We start from the raw sequence: 15,473 nt of genomic DNA, 5'->3' as shown, positions 1-15,473 counted from the left end.
CTGCAGCCTCGACTTCCTGGGCTCAGAAGATCCTCCCACCTCAACCTCCCAAGAACATGGGACTACAGGAGCACCCCACCACGGCCAGATAGTTTTTTTATTATTATTATTTGTAGAGACAGGGTCTCCCATTGCCCAGGCTGGGCTTAAACTCCTGGGCTCAAGCAATCCACCTGTCTCAGCCTCCCAAAGTGCTGGGATTACAGGCCTGGGCCACCGCGCCCAGCCCTACGTATCACTATGCAACTAGCTTTTCTCCTCAGCATTGTGTTCTTGAGCATGGATACATGGAACTTTAGTTCCTTCATTTAAATAGCTGTATACTATTCCACGCAGAAGCATACCACAGTCCTCCCATTTTTCACTATTATAAACAGTGCTGCAACAGACACCCTCGTGACCGTCTCTTAGAGCACCTATGTGACTGTCTCTAGGGCTCATCTGTGGGCAGTGAGTGGGCCACAGGCAGTTGAGTTTCTAATCCCCTAAGCCCAGGGCCTGGGTGCCTCCTCCCTTTACCCAGGAAACTCATAGATACCATGTTTCTCTATAAGCATTGAAGACATTGGGAAGGACTGCCACAGGAGTTGCACATTGTTAATTTTACTGAGTTCTTTTACTTTTTAAAATCAAGAGTTTATGGCCGGGTGCGGTGGCTCACGCCTGTAATCCCAGCACTTTAGGAGGCCAAGGCAGGCAAATCACGAGGTCAGGAGTTCGAGACCAGCCTGGCCAATATGTTGAAACCTCATCTCTACCAAAAATACAAAAATTATCTGGGCATGGTGGTGTGCGCCTGTAGTCCCAGCTACTCAGGAGGCTGAGGCAGAAGGATCGCTTGAACCCACGAGGTGGAGATTGCAGTGAGCAGAGATCACATCACTGCACTCCACCTTAGTGACAGAGCGAGATTCTGTCTCAAGAAAAAGAAAAAAAATCAAGAGTTTACTTCTTTAATAACTTCTATTTATTCCTGTTTCCTTTACTCTGGGGTGGCGGGGGTGTTGGTAGAGGGAGGGCATGGCAGGCACTCGGGTGAGACACCCGTGACCCTTGTCCTTGTGTGTTCTCAGTGATGCTCTGTCCATAACCTTTTCCTTTGCATTCTTTGCACATTTCTCCATCTGGCCCTTTGATATCTTGCATTTGATTTTTACATTTTCAGATCTGCTATTCATTGCGTTCAATGCAAATTGAAGTCAGTTACTGTATTTTTTGTTTATCACTGTCTCCTACCACGGATTGTCCTTATCTAATAGAAGTATTCTCTGTACCCTACATACAGCCTGAAGTACACATATTCTGTCTTTGCCAATGCAATGTAGAACTGAGGAAGGGTGTACTCTGAGTTGTGTGTCCAGTCAACAAAGATTTATTGAGCACCTACTATGTGTCTTGGGAGGTGCAGGAGCTACAGTGATCGTAAGACGCAATCCTCGCCCTCTTGTTCTCCTTTCCCTGTAGCTACCCCCTTTCCCATGGGCCCAGTTTTCCTCCTGGTGGCTCCTCTAATGGAGAGTTATTTCCACAGGGCATTGGATGCATGGGTTGCCCTGGCTCCCACGCAGGCCCCTCAAACCCTGGCAGAGCCCTCCTCACAGAGCCAAGGCAGGGATATTGGGGCGTGTGGTGCCAGCCGGGTCCTGGCCAGGGTAACATTCTCCACAGGCCCGTTCCCCTCCGGGTGTGAGTCCTTCTGATCCCCCAGGCACCATGGACCAGGAGCCTCTGGGTGTCTCTGCTGCTCTGTGGTGGAACCTGTGTCCTGCTCTCACTGCCCACTCTCTATCCAGGTGGCTCCTCTCATGGGAGTTGGTTTCTGAGACCCACTTTTGCTGCCAGCAAGGCCCAGATGATGCTGAGGGGCCCTCCACCGACTTGCCCAGAGGTTCCCCAGTGGAGCCCTTGTCAGCCTCAGGAGGGCAGCTAAGGCCAGTCATAAAAACCTCCTTCAGGGGGCCGAGCCCCCGGCAGCTCCTTGCTGATGGTGTTGGTCTGGGCCCCTGCTAGAAGCTGCTCCAAGAACTGCCTCAAGCGCAGGCTTAGCTTCTCAAGTTGATGTGGATATTTTCTATTTGTGTGATTTCTCTGGGTTTTTCCACTGGATATTGGGGCTGGGGGCAGCCCTGGCATGGTGACTTTGGCAGATGGAGGAGAAGACACAGGAGCAGCGAGAGGAAGGGAGAGCGCAGCCACCAGCGAGGTGACAGGTGACATCAAAGGGCACCCGTACACCTGGCACAGCCACTCCCTGAGCCATTACACCTGGAAAGCCTTAGATGCCCCTTCTGGAGAGGAGAAGGCAGAGGTCAGAGAGGGACAAAGGTTTGGCCACAGCCTATAAGGAGTCCAACATGCTGAGCCTGGCCCTCTGGGGCTCACACATGGGATCCAGTGAGCCCACTGAGTCCTGGGGGCCCAGACAGTGCAGGGGCCACAGCTCCAGGCCATTTCCATTCCCTGGGTTGGCACCTGCTTAGTGAGCACCCCTTATGTCCCAGGCACCACAACCTCATCTCTCAGGAGACAGCAGAGCAGAAAGCAGATCACCATCCCACCCCTCAGTGGGGGAGACTGACCATACAAAAACGAATCAGTGAAATGGATACCCTCAGTGATTGCAGTTTATTATCATGACCTGTTACTATATAGCCTGTTCAGTGCAAGGGCAAGTGCTGGGGGAGGGGTGGGTGCTGAGCCCTCGCAGGGGCTAAGAACTTTCCATGCATGATCCCATGTCCTCCTCACAGAGACCCGGCCAAGTGGGGATCATCCTCTTGCTTTTGCAGATGAAGAACCTGCCCTCCAGAGCCCTAGTACTCCCACTTCTCATTCTGGCATCTAAGTCATGGCCACCCTCCCCAGCCTCAGTCCAGGCCCCTCTGCAGCTGTCTAAAGACCGAGGCCTCCCTCTGGTGGCCACATGATGCCCAGGTGGAGGCACTGCTGGGGCACTTCACCTCAGATCCTATTGGTGGGGGAAGGAGGCAGCACTGGCCCTGATCCTATTCAGCTACTCAGATGCAGGCAGAGTGGTTCAAATCCTGGTTCTTCCATTTATTCCACTAACTGTATGACTTGAATAAGTCAGCTGATCTCTAAGCCCCTATGTCCTTACCTGCCAAATGCAAATCATAAAGGCCCTGCCTTTTTGCTGTGATGACTAAATGGGATGAAGAATGAAATGTGCTAAGCAAATGCCTGGTACATAGTGACCGAATGAGAGTCGATAACAGTAACCTTGGTTGCTACTCCTATCGTTAGTATCCGGCCTCAGTTTCCCAGCCTATGAAATGGGAATGGGAAAGTCTCATCTATCCGAACTTCACAAAATGATCACTCTTTTAGTCAATAATTATTTATTGAGCACCTACTACAATCAGGACCTATAGTATTTTAGGCTCCCTCACCTTGTGGTCTGCTCTTTTGGGGTAGGGGGCGGAAAGCAGACTCCTGCTGCCACCCAGGCAGGTGCCCAGGCTCTAGGGAGTGGAGAGGGTGGAGTTGCTGAGTGCTGGCTGCCAAGTAGTGGGTCAGCCGCGCCACCTAGCGACCACATGTCCCCATGTCAGCTCTGCTCATTTTCTTGCTGGGAACGTTTGTGCCTTCTGCCTGGGCTTTAGGACTGCAAATCAGGCTCCCTCCAAGGGGTCACGAGCTGTGGAAAGCCAGGACCTTGTGCCAGAGCTTGTGGCCCCATAATATTTCCAGGTGCTTCTCAGGCCCCAGGAAGGTGGCAGCCAAGGCAAGAGCTTGGAAGGAGTCAGGATCTGAGGTTGCTGGCAGGGCCTCTTGGACTGCAACTTACTAAGCTAGTCTGGCCTTTATCTTTCCTCTCCTGCAAAATGGGTGATCATAAAAGAAGTCCCTCCACACACCGAATTGAAATGAGCCTCAGAGGAGATGGGAAGGTGGGGGAGGACGTGAAAGTGGTGGGAGCTGGATCTTCCTGTGAGAGGACAGATGGAACCGTGTGAGCTACGAATGAACTGAGTCAGCCCTGGCGACCTGCTGACTAGAGCAGGGACCCAGGACTGAGGCTAGAGTGGTGGATAGGACCTCAAATTCCAGGCTGGATGAGGTCAACAAGGGATTGTGGATAGAAAAGACAGATGAGGCCCTCAAATGCTAAGAGGTTGGGAAAGCAAAATCAACAACTGAGACTCATAAGAGGGGGCCTCAGAAGTAAGAGAAAAACTAGGCAAGGTTGGTCTCTTGGAGGAAAAACAAGAAGGCATTTCAAGGAGGAGAGAATGATCAACTGGCCACATGTGGCAGACAAGCCAAGAAGCTGAGAAATGCCACAGGGACATAGGACCTAGCAATGCAGGGGTCACTGGTGATGTTGATGAGAGCAATTTGGGGCAAGTGGGACAAGAGTCTAATTAGGGAGGTCCAAGAATGATGGGAGAAGAGGAACCAGAAACAGAGAGGACAGACACTTTCAAAGCAGTTGCTATGAAGGGAAAGAGAGACAGGGCAGGGGCCGGAGAGGAGAAATCATCAGGAGGGCCTTGCTTGTCTGTATCCTTGTTTAAGATGGGAATACTAAGAGATTATTTATATGCTCATGAGAATGGTCCAGCTGGCTCTTTGAGAAGATCTTTAAAATCTATAAACCCCTAGCCAGGCTAATTAGGGAAAAGAGAAAAAAAGACAAATTGTCAATATCCAGGAATAAGAGAGATGAAATCACTACAGATTCTAGAATAATAAGGGAGTGTTATGAACAACTTTATGTCAATAAGTTTGACAGCTTAGATGAAATTATCAAATTCCTTGAAGGAAAAAACTACCAAAGCTCTCAAGAAGAAATAAGTAGTCTTATATCCATTAAAGAAATTAGATTTATAGTTTAAAATCTTCCTACAAAGAAGATTTTCCAGGTAGCTTCACTAGTGAATTTTATCAAACTTTTAAAGAAGAAATACCACCAATTCTACAAACTCTTCCAGAAAATTGAAAAGGAAGGAACAGTTCCCAGCTAATTCTATGAAGCCAGCATGACTCTGATACCAAAATGTGACAAAGATTTTACAAGAAAACAATCCTCCTAAACAAAGGTGCAAAAATCCTAAACAAAATTTCAACAAACCAAATCCAACAATATATTAAAAGGGTACTATATCATCACTGAATGGGGCTTATTCCAGGAATGCAAGGTTAATTCAGCATGTGAAAATGAATGAAATTCACCATATTCGCAAATTCTAAAATATGCAGAAAAGGCATTTGACAAAATCCAACATCTAGTCCCAACAAAAATGTTGAGTAAACTAGAAATACAAGAGAACTTAGTCAACCTGGATAAAGAATGTCCATGAAAAACCTACATCTAACATTATACTTAATGATAAAAGACTGAACACTTTCCCCCTAAGATCAGGACCAAGTCAAGGATGTCTGCTCTGACATTTGCTATACAACATTGACCAAAACGTAGTGAGAAATCCAGAAGTAAACCTACAGATACATGGACAATTGCTTTTCAACAAAGGTGCCAAGGCAATTCAGTGGAAATTCATCCCTGCTTTCAACAGGTGGTGCTGGAGCAATTGGATATGCATGTACAAAACAGATTAACTTTGATGCGTACTTTGTAGCATATTAGAAAATTAACTCAAAATGAATCCTTGACTTAAATGTAAGAGCGTTACATAATTGTAACGTAACTATAAAACTTTTAAAAGAAAATGTAGGAGAAAACCTTTGTGATCTTGGTTTAGGCAAACATTTCTTAGCTATGACACCAGAAGCATCACGCATGAAAGAAAACATTGATAAGTTGGAGTTCATCAAGTTAAAAACTCCTGCTTTTTGGAAAACACCATTAAGAGACTGAAAAGACACACCACAGACTGGGCACGGTGGCTCATGCCTGTAATCCCAGCACTTTAGGAGGCTGAGGTGGGAAGATCCTGAGCCCAGGAGTTCAAGGGCAGCCGGGGCAATGGTGTGAGACCCAATCTCTACATGAAGGAAAGAGAGAGAGAACAAGACAAGCTACAGACTGAAATTTTTCAAATCATATAACTAATCAAGGACCCGTATCCAGCATATACAAAGAGTTGTCAAAATTCAATAATACAAAAACAATCTAATTTTTTAAGAAAATATTTCAAAAGGCGCTTCAGCAAAGAAATTATGTGGATGGCAAATATGTCTACGAAAAGTACTCAACATGATTATTAAGGAAATGCAAATCAAAACCACAACAAAATACCACCACACACCCATTAGCATGACTAAGAAAAACTGGCCATACCAACTGCTGGCAAGGATGTAGGGAAACCAGAACTCTCATACACTGCTGGTGGGGATACAAAATTGTGCAACCACTTTGGAAAATAGTTTGGCAGTTTCTTAAAAAGTTAAACATATAGTTACATATAATCCAGCCATTCTACTTCTAGATATTTACCCAAGAGAAATGAAAGTATGTGTTTTTATAAAGACACATGCACAAGTATTCATAGCAGCTTTATTTGTAACAACAACAAAAAACTGGAAACAAAACGTCCATCAGTAGGTGAATGGATAAATAAACCATGGTGTATCCATACAACAGTATGCTGCTCCGCAATAAAAAGAAATGAACTTCTGATATATGCTACAAAATGAATGAATCTTAAAATGATTACTGAGTGAAAGAAGCCAGACAGAAAGAGTGCATGCTGTATGAGTCCACCTATATAACATTTTAGAAAATACCAAGTAATTTATAGAGACAGAAAGCAGAGCTCTGATTGCTTAAGCATAGGCTGTGGATGGTGGGAAGGGCTATAATAAACAGATTACAAAGGGACAAGAGGACATTTTTTAGAGTGATGGATATGTTCATTATCTTGACTGTAGTGATGGTTTCACTGACACATTTGTCAGTTTAAATACACGCAGTTTATTTTATATCCAGTATACCTCCATAAATTGTTAAAAATATATTTCAAGAATATGGTATTGGACATTTTTATACAAAATCAGTCTTCCTTAATGTGTCTTATAAAAAATAATTATTAACAAATAAATCAAAAAGCAAAGCCCACAAACCTCCTCAACTTCACAAATGATGTAGGCTGCACAAATATTATTATTTTCTATGTGTGTCATGGTGTGGGAAAGGACTCATTTATGGTTCCATCCTTGTGAGACAAGAGGCCAAGATAATGTCATTCATTGGCTTTAAAGCACAAAAGGGTGTCATGGCCAGGGAGTCCTCAACCACAGGATGGACAAAGCCCTCTCCAGGTACTCTGCTTCCATCCATTTCATTTTTTTTTATACTTTAAGTTCTGGCATACTTGTGCAGAATGGGCAGGTTTGTTACATAGGTATACATGTGCCATGGTGGTTTGCCGCACCCATCAACCCATCATCTACATTAGGTATTCCCTCTAATGCTATCTTCCCCCAGCCCCCCACCCTCTGAAAGGCCCCAGTGTGTGATCTTTCCCTCCCTGTGTCCATGTGTTCTCATTGTTCAACTCCCACTTACGAGTGAGAACATGCGGTGTTTGGTTTTCTGTTCCTGTGTCAGTTTGCCGAGAATGATGGCTTCCAGCTTCATCCATGTCCCTGCAATGAGAACAAAGACACAACGTACCAGGGTCTCTGGGACACAGCAAAAGCAGTGTTTAGAGGGAAATTTATAGCACTAAATGCCCACAAGAGAAAGTGGGAAAGATCTAAAATTGATACTTTAACATCACAATTAAAAGAACTAGAGAAGCAAGAACAAACAAATTCAAAAGCTAGCAGAAGACAAGAAATAACTAAGATCAGAGCAGAACTGAAGAAGATAAGAGACACAAAAACCCTTCAAAAAATCAATGAATCCAGGAGCTGGTGTGTTGAAAAGATTAACAAAATAGACCGCTAGCAAGACTAATAAAGAAGAAAAGAGAAAAGAATCAAATAGACACAATAAAAAATGATAAAAGGGATATCACCACTGATCCCACAGAAATACAAACTACCTTCAGAGAATACTATAAACACCTCTATGCAAATAAACTAGAAAATCTAGAAGAAATGGATAAATTCCTGGACACATACACCCCCACAAGACTAAACCAGGAAGAAGTCAAATCCCTGAATAGACCAATAACAAGTTCTGAAATTGAGGCAGTAATTAATAGCCTACTAACCAAAAAAAGGCCAGGACCAGACAGATTCACAGCCAAATTCTACCAGAGGTATAAAGAGGAACTGGTACCATTCCTTCTGAAACTATTCCAAACAACAGAAAAAGAGGGACTCTTCTCTAACTGATTTTATGAGGCCAGCATCATCCTGATACCAAAACCTGGCAGAGACACAACAAAAAAAAGAAAATTTCAGGCCAATATCCCTGATGAACAACGATGCAAAAATCCTCAATAAAATACTGGCAAACCAAATCCAGCAGCACATCAAAAAGCTTATCTACCACGATCAAGTCAGCTCATCACTGGGATGCAAGGCTGGTTCAACATACGAAAATCAATAAACGTAATCCATCACATAAACAGAACCAATGACAAAAACCACATGATTATCTCAATAGATGCAGAAAAAGCCTTCAATAAAATTCAACACCCCTTCATGCTAAAAACTCTCAATAAACTAGGTATTGATGGAACATATCTCAAAATAATAAGAGCTATTTATGACAAACCCACAGCCAATATCATACTGAATGGGCAAATGCTGGAAGCACTCCCTTTGAAAACCAGCACAAGACAAGGATGCCCTCTCTCACCACTCCTATTCAACATAGGGTTAGAAGTTCTGGCCAGGGCAATCAGGCAAGAGAAAGAAATAAAGGGTATTCAAATAGGAAGACAGGAAGTCAAATTGTCTCTGTTTGCAGATGACATGATTGTACATTTAGAAAACTCCATCGTCTCAGCCCAAAATTTCCTTAAGCCGATAAGCAACTTCAGCAAAGTCTCAGGATACAAAATCAATGTGCAAAAATCACAAGCATTCCTATAAACCAATAACAGACAGAGAACCAATTCATGAGTGAACTCCCATTCACAATTGCTATAAAGAGAATAAAATACCTAGGAATACAACTTACAAGGGATGTCAAAGACCTCTTCAAGGAGAACTACAAACTAGTGCTCAAGGAAATAAGAGAAGACACAAACAAATGGAAAAACATTCCTTGCTCATGGTTAGGAAGAATCAATATCGTGAAAATGGCCATATGGCCCAAAGTAATTTATAGATTCAACGCTATCCCCATCAAGCTACCATTGACTTTCTTCACATAATTAGAAATAACTACTTTAAATTTCATGTGGAACCAAAAAAGAGCCCGTATAGCCAAGACAATCCTAAGCAAAAAGAGCAAAGCTGGAGGCATCACACTTCCTGACTTCAAACTATAGTATAAGGCCACAGTAACCAAAACAGCATGGTACTGGTACCAAAACAGATATATAGACCAATAGAACAGAACAGAGGCCTCAGAAATAACACCACACATCTACAATATCTGATCTTTGACAAACCTGCAATGGGGAAAGGATTCCCTATTTAATATTTAATAAATGGTGTAGTGAAAACTGGCTAGCCATATACAGAAAACTGAAACTGGACCCCTTCCTTACACCTTATACAAAAATTAACTCAAGATGGATTAAAGATTTAAACATAAGACCTAAAACCATAAAAACCCTAGAAGAAAACCTAGGCAATACCATTCAGGACATAGGCATGGGCAAGGACTTCATGACTAAAACACCAAAAGCAATGGCAACAAAAGCCAAAATTGACAAATGGGATCTGATTAAACTAAAGAGCTTCTGCACAGCAAAAGAAACTACCATCAGAGTGAACAGGCAACCTACAGAATGGAAGAAAATTTTTGCAATCTATCCATCTTACAAAGAGCTAATATCCAGAATTTAAAGGAACTTAAACAAATTTACAAAAAAAAAAAATCAAACAACCCCATCAAAAAGTGGGCGAAGGATATGAACACACACTTCTCAAAAAAAATAAGATATTTATGCTTCCATTTCTTTAGAGGTGAGTGACCAAGGTTTGGAAAAGAGGAGATGAGTGTCTGCTGGAGCTTAGCCATCTGTGGCACCAGCGCTGGTCCACATAAGCAGCTGGCCAGCGGTGCAGTGTGAGGTAGAGGGGTGTCTGTGAGTGGTGCTGGAAAGAGGGAAGACAAGGGGTCCGGGTTCCAGGGTCCAGGTAAGGTGACCTTGGATAAGCGATTCAGACCAGCCTGTCTCCTACGGGGCCTCTGCCATCCTGCTGCCCCTAAAGGCAGCTGCCGTCTCCCCTCTGGGCACAAAAGGGGTTCTCAGAACAGCCAGAGCCCCAGGACTACAAGGCCTCCAGCCAGACACAGAGCTTGACCTGGCCTTGTGTCCATTAGGTCAAAGTGGGACAAGACAGAGGCTGCAGCAGCGGCTACAGTGAATATCCCCAGGACAGAGCTTCAGAAGCAGCTGCAGCCTCCACTGGTTTTGCATGCCTAGTACCATGTGTGCACAGGAGGCAACAGAGACAGTAAAGCAGAGGGGCTGAGTGGCTCAAGAGATCCTATCTGGGCTCAAGTCATGGCTTTGTCACTTACCAGCTGCCTGCCTGGGCAAGTTACTTAACTGCCCTGTGCCTCAGTTTCCCCACTAATAAAATGAAGATAAGAATTACCCTAGTCGTGAGGATTAAAGGAGTTAATATCGTTCCTGGCAAAGTATGCTCTATGGTGTGTTTGTTATTGTTGTGTTATTGCATACTTTAAAATACCCTCCTCCTGCCCCTTCTTACACATGCGTTTGGCACCCATGGCAGACCAAGCATCTGACCACTTAACTACTGGGTGTGTAGATGGTTCCCACCGTTAGAATCCTTCAGGTTTGGGGCTCTTGCTGCTTTATTTCTTCTTCTTTTTTTTTTTTTTTTTTTTTTTTTTTTTTGAGATGGAGTCTCACTCTGTTGCCCAGGCTGGAGTACAGTGGTGTGATCTCGGCTCACCACAACCTCCGCCTCCCGGGTTCAAGCGATTCTCCTGCCTCAGCCTCCTGAGTAGCTGGAACTACAGGCGCGCACCACCATGCCCGGCTAATTTTTGTATTTTTAGTAGAGATGGGGTTTCACTATGTTGGTCAGGCTGGTCTCGAACACCTGACCTCGTGATGGCCCACCTCAGCCTCCCAAAGTGTTGGGGTTACAGGCGTGAGCCACCATGCCCGGCCTCTTGCTACTTTATTTCTATTGCCCTGGCTACTAAGAGCCTCACAAAAAATCTAGATCCCATGTCTTCTGGCCCGAAGGTTTGAGTGGACTGACGCACGCAAGTCCCGGCATCTCCAGCAGGGGTCGACCGACACCACGCTCTGCATGCGTTGCGCGGCAGCCATTAGGCACACTGAGGGCTGCAGGGAGCGCGGTAGGTGGACCTGTGGGCAACTCCGCTTCCCTGGTCCCCCACCCCATCCACCCCATTTCCTGGAGGTGGAGCCTCATGCTGTACCTGGCCCAGGCTGTTTCCCTCGGTTCTCGGTAAAATAGGCGTGGTCACCTCTGGCCCTGAGGCTTTCCCCCCAACCCCCCACCTGTATCCCAAGCTATGCCAAATCTTCACCCCATGCACCCCCTTCATCCTCGCATCCACAAGGGGTTTCCAAATCCAGGTTGCAGCCTTCCTTACCCCCGCCCCAACAAAACAGCACACAGGAAAGGCAAAAAAAAAAAAAAAAAAAAAACATGTTTTTATTGTTTGATTAACAAACTGGTTGGGGGAAGGGCAAGAATAAGACATGCGGGGAAATACCAGCTTTGATTAGTCAGAAACTCCTGTTATCTGTACAAAAAAATGAATGTTACAAAAATCACGTAAAAAAACTAGGCTCAAGGAAGCAGCCGCCCTTGCAAGAGGGCTCAAGGCACCTGGGAGGCTGAGAAGAGGCCAACCTGGCCATGGGCGTGGCTGCATGGACAGCTCTTCCCTCCTGCCCTTCCCCAGATGCCCTTCCCTCCTGCCCCGAGGGGCACACTCCCTCTCCCCAATTACAGGTGCTACAAAACTGCCTTGAATACCACCGCCAAGGCACTGCCAGAGATGAAATGGGCCCTGAGCAGAGCCTCAGGCTCTCCCTCCCCCGTAGCCCAGGCCTGGAGAAAGGAGGGCCTTGTTCCCCAGGCCCCAGGTGGGCACAGATTCCAGAGCTGCCTCGGGGAAAGCCTCTTAGGGGAGGCCCAGGCTCTGCTCCCTGGGGAGGCAGAGGCCGTGGGACCTACACACAGGCACACACAGCCCTGGCTTTGGTCAGTACTGAGTGTGGGCAGAGGGGCCGCAGCCCTGTCCAGCCCCACGATGTTGACTGAGAGGTGCTATCCCAGACGGTCCTTGTTGGAGCTGCCATGGCAGGCTGGGCCCTAATTGGGGTAGCACAAGCAGCATCCCGTGCCTGCCGCCTCCACGCTGGGCTTGGCACCGGGCCCCAGGAGCCCATCAGTGACAGAGTGCTCCATGATGATGTCCTCCACCCGGGTGATGTACAGCAGCGTCAGCAGCACCCCCAGGAACTGAGAAGAAGGGGCAGGGCTGGTGAGGGCCTGCTGGGAATCAGGGCAGCCCTCCCTGCAGCTCCCGGCTCCCAGAAACCCAAGCAGCCAGTCCCAAGCCCTCATGGTCCTGTGTGACCTGGGCAACACCCACAGCAGAGACTTCTCCCAGCACCCACACTGCCCAAGAAGCTCCCACCTGGGCCCCCTCTCCCCTTCCCAGGAAATCCCAGAGCGCCTCGCTGTGCCCCATCAGCAAGGGCCCCTCCCTTCTGGGATTCCTGCCTCCACCCCAGCTCTGCTGCACACTATCTAGGGGATCTTGGCAAGTCACTGAAGCTTGCTGCTCCTCAGTTTCCTCCTCTGTGAAATAGGCATTATAATAGTGCCTCCCTCACAAAAAGAAGTGAAGCAGCAGTGCCTGCGCAGCACTTGGAAGAGCTTCGCCACGACTGCTATTGCCATTTGCCCCTCCTTCCAGCCATGCAGCCCTCCCCAGGCAAGTCCTGGACTTCTATGAAAAAAGCCTCTTCGCTCTTCCCCTCTGCACCTTCTCTGCCCTTCTGCAATCACCAAGTCACACTTTCTCTGAACCCACGGCCTGCCCACCTGGGGAAGCAGGATGCCCAGGAGGATGCCCGCCATGATGGTGTAGTTGTCCATGAACCAGATGATCACGGCGTTGGTGCAGCCCCGCACGTAGATGACATCCTGCACACTGAAACGCTGCATGGGAAGGAGCTGGGTCAGCCCAGCAGAGGACCTCGGCTGGCAGGAGCCACAGCCCCGACTCTGCCATGTACACAAGGTCCAGGCTAGTCCCTCAACCGCTGTGATCCTCAGTTTCCCATATGCAGCATGAGAAGGTGACCCTAGATTCTGATTCTTAATGGACAGTACTGTTCTCTAGAGAGGACTGGGGACACCGTGGTGGCACTTTTGGTTGCCCCAGCAAACGAGGTTGGCGGCTGAGGGACTGCAGAGCTCAGGGTAATCCTACTCCACAAACAACTGCCCTGCCTGTGTGCTTCTCAGATGTCCCTGCATGAAAAGCCTCACGGATGTTTTCCATACATGAAAAGCCTATTTATAATTATCCAAGCCAATAGCCCCACTCCAGGTACATATAAAAAACAAAGCAGAGTTGGGCATGGTGGCCAGTGCCTGCAGTCCCAGCTACTATGGAGGCTCAGTTGGGAGGAGTGCCTAAGCCTAGGAGTTTGAGGCCAGCCTAGGCAACAGTGAGACCCTGTCTGTCTCTTAAGGGAAAAAAAAAAAAAAAGCATTTCTGCATTGGTTTTAATATACAAAGAATTTTCCAGAAGTACTACTAGGTAAATTAAGGAATGATTACACATTATTTAATTCAGAACTTTATCAAGAATTGTTCACCGTTTTTAAAAACCATGCCAGTGGCAAAAATGATGCCCATGGTATGTGAGTCGCCAACACAATGCCCAGTATCAGCTGCCCTGTAGCTACTACAGCCTCAGGGATGCCTCACATCAGTGCAGACACCTGACTACATTGTGTCTTCTGCACCCCCCACTGCCTAAGCACTTACATGATGAACTATGTTAAACAGCTGTAAATTGCTGTATTTCATTTCTACTTTATCTCAGATCATTATGTTAATTGTATTGGAATTGGGCATGTAGGTAGGTTATCTGTGAATTTCACTTGGGGATAATAAATAGGACATTACCACTGTTTGTTATAAAAATGGCCATTGGTTCTGAGGGGCTGAGAACCACTGCTGGTCTATGGCTCTCAAGCATGTGTCAGAATCACCCACTAGCCCCATACCAAGAATGTGCATTTCTCACATTCCTAGGGGATGCTGTTGCTGCTGGACTGGGGACCCCACTTTGAAAGCCACTGCTCTGCATGTCAGGTCACTATTCCTTTTAGGTCCCTTCTCAGCACCACCCCTGCTTCTCTCCTAGACCAGGGGTGTTGCCCAGGAAGCTGACCCAGGAGCAACCCCCAGAGGGGGTTACCATCCTCTAGGACTCCTGGGTCCCAGGTGGCCCCAGGGGCAGAGGCAAGCTGGTGCTGAGCATGGCTGGGCACACAGCACGCTGCGGGTACCAGGAAGCGCCGTGGTGGCTTCATGTGGAACAGCCCACAGTAGGTGCTCGGCAAACCCTGACAGGCGGCATCTCCCAGCCTGGGGGAATTCTTGGTTCCCTGAGCCCTTCTGTGCTGGGGTGGAAAACCACAGCAGTCCTGGCTCTGGGTCACAGCCAGGAATGTGGGAAAATCTCAGTGGCCAGGACCCCGACCTCAATAAACCCCTCCGATCACCCCAGGGTGGACCAGGAAGAGCAACATTTCCAGGGAAAGGCATTTCAAAGACATTACCTCCTTGTCGATAGTTTTGTAGCCACACATGGTGTTGACAACTTCTGTCTGAAATGGAAATGTATAATAGCTAATATTTATAATGGTTCTAACTCAAAAAGGCACTATTATCCTACCCATTTTACAGATGAAAACCGAAGCACAGAGTTGCACCGTCCAGCAGGGATGGAGCTGAGATTCCGACCCAGGCAGTCTGGCTTGAGTCTCCATCATAACCACCTCCTCCTCCAAGAAATGCCCCGTGAAAAAACTGTAGGAATGCAGGTTCCATGACTTTTACCTGGGAGAACCACCCCTCCACTAGCAGCAGATCAGGACCCCAGAGAAAGGTGTGCTGCCCACGCTCCCGGGCTATGACCGCCCCAGAGCACCGCTTTGCTCACACCGTCTCAGAGGTCGGGGTGGGGCTGTTCCTGCGCCGCTGGCTCTTGGGGAGGAAAACTTCAGACTACAGCTGGCACAGGGTCAGCTGTGGTTTACCTGAGGTCCAGGGCAGGGCCCCTGGCCATGCTTCCGTTCCATAGACCACTGCTCCACCAGCGGAGAGTGCTGCCAAAACTTCCTTCTTGGGAAGAGAGGTGCTCTCCAGAACTCCC

The 15,473-nt window shown here is 47.1% G+C and overlaps 1 protein-coding gene across 11 annotated transcripts in view, besides 1 other annotated feature; it reads right to left on the bottom strand.

Moving 5' to 3' along the window:
* Positions 1–15,473, bottom strand: part of TSPAN15 (tetraspanin 15) — a 98,044-nt gene that overhangs the window by 30,146 nt on the left and 52,425 nt on the right. For 6 of the 11 annotated variants that reach the window (NR_147091.2, NM_012339.5, NM_001351263.2 and 3 more), the window contains 3 exons: positions 14,878–14,925; positions 13,123–13,239; positions 11,697–12,534 (listed from right to left, as the gene is read on the bottom strand). Coding sequence is in view for 7 of the 11 variants with exons in the window: in NM_012339.5 (NP_036471.1) it covers positions 12,385–12,534; positions 13,123–13,239; positions 14,878–14,925 (315 nt within the window). In the remaining 4 variants the exon portion in view is untranslated. Of the gene's footprint in view, positions 1–7,492; positions 7,573–11,696; positions 12,535–13,122; positions 13,240–14,877; positions 14,926–15,473 lie in introns of those variants that run through there. The other 5 variants (XR_001747072.2, XR_007061951.1, XR_007061952.1 and 2 more) reach the window with 1 other exon arrangement.
* Positions 3,575–3,624: a silencer, noted in NCBI's record as "silent region_2435". NCBI's record gives its function as "represses an Ori minimal core promoter by ATAC-STARR-seq in GM12878 lymphoblastoid cells {active_cell/tissue: GM12878}" and the evidence as "EXISTENCE:reporter gene assay evidence [ECO:0000049][PMID:35858748]".

The sequence above is a fragment of the Homo sapiens genome, chromosome 10, assembly GCF_000001405.40.
Source record: "Homo sapiens chromosome 10, GRCh38.p14 Primary Assembly".
Taxonomy (NCBI): Eukaryota; Metazoa; Chordata; class Mammalia; order Primates; family Hominidae; genus Homo; species Homo sapiens.
This window is presented reverse-complemented; position numbering and strand designations above follow the sequence as displayed.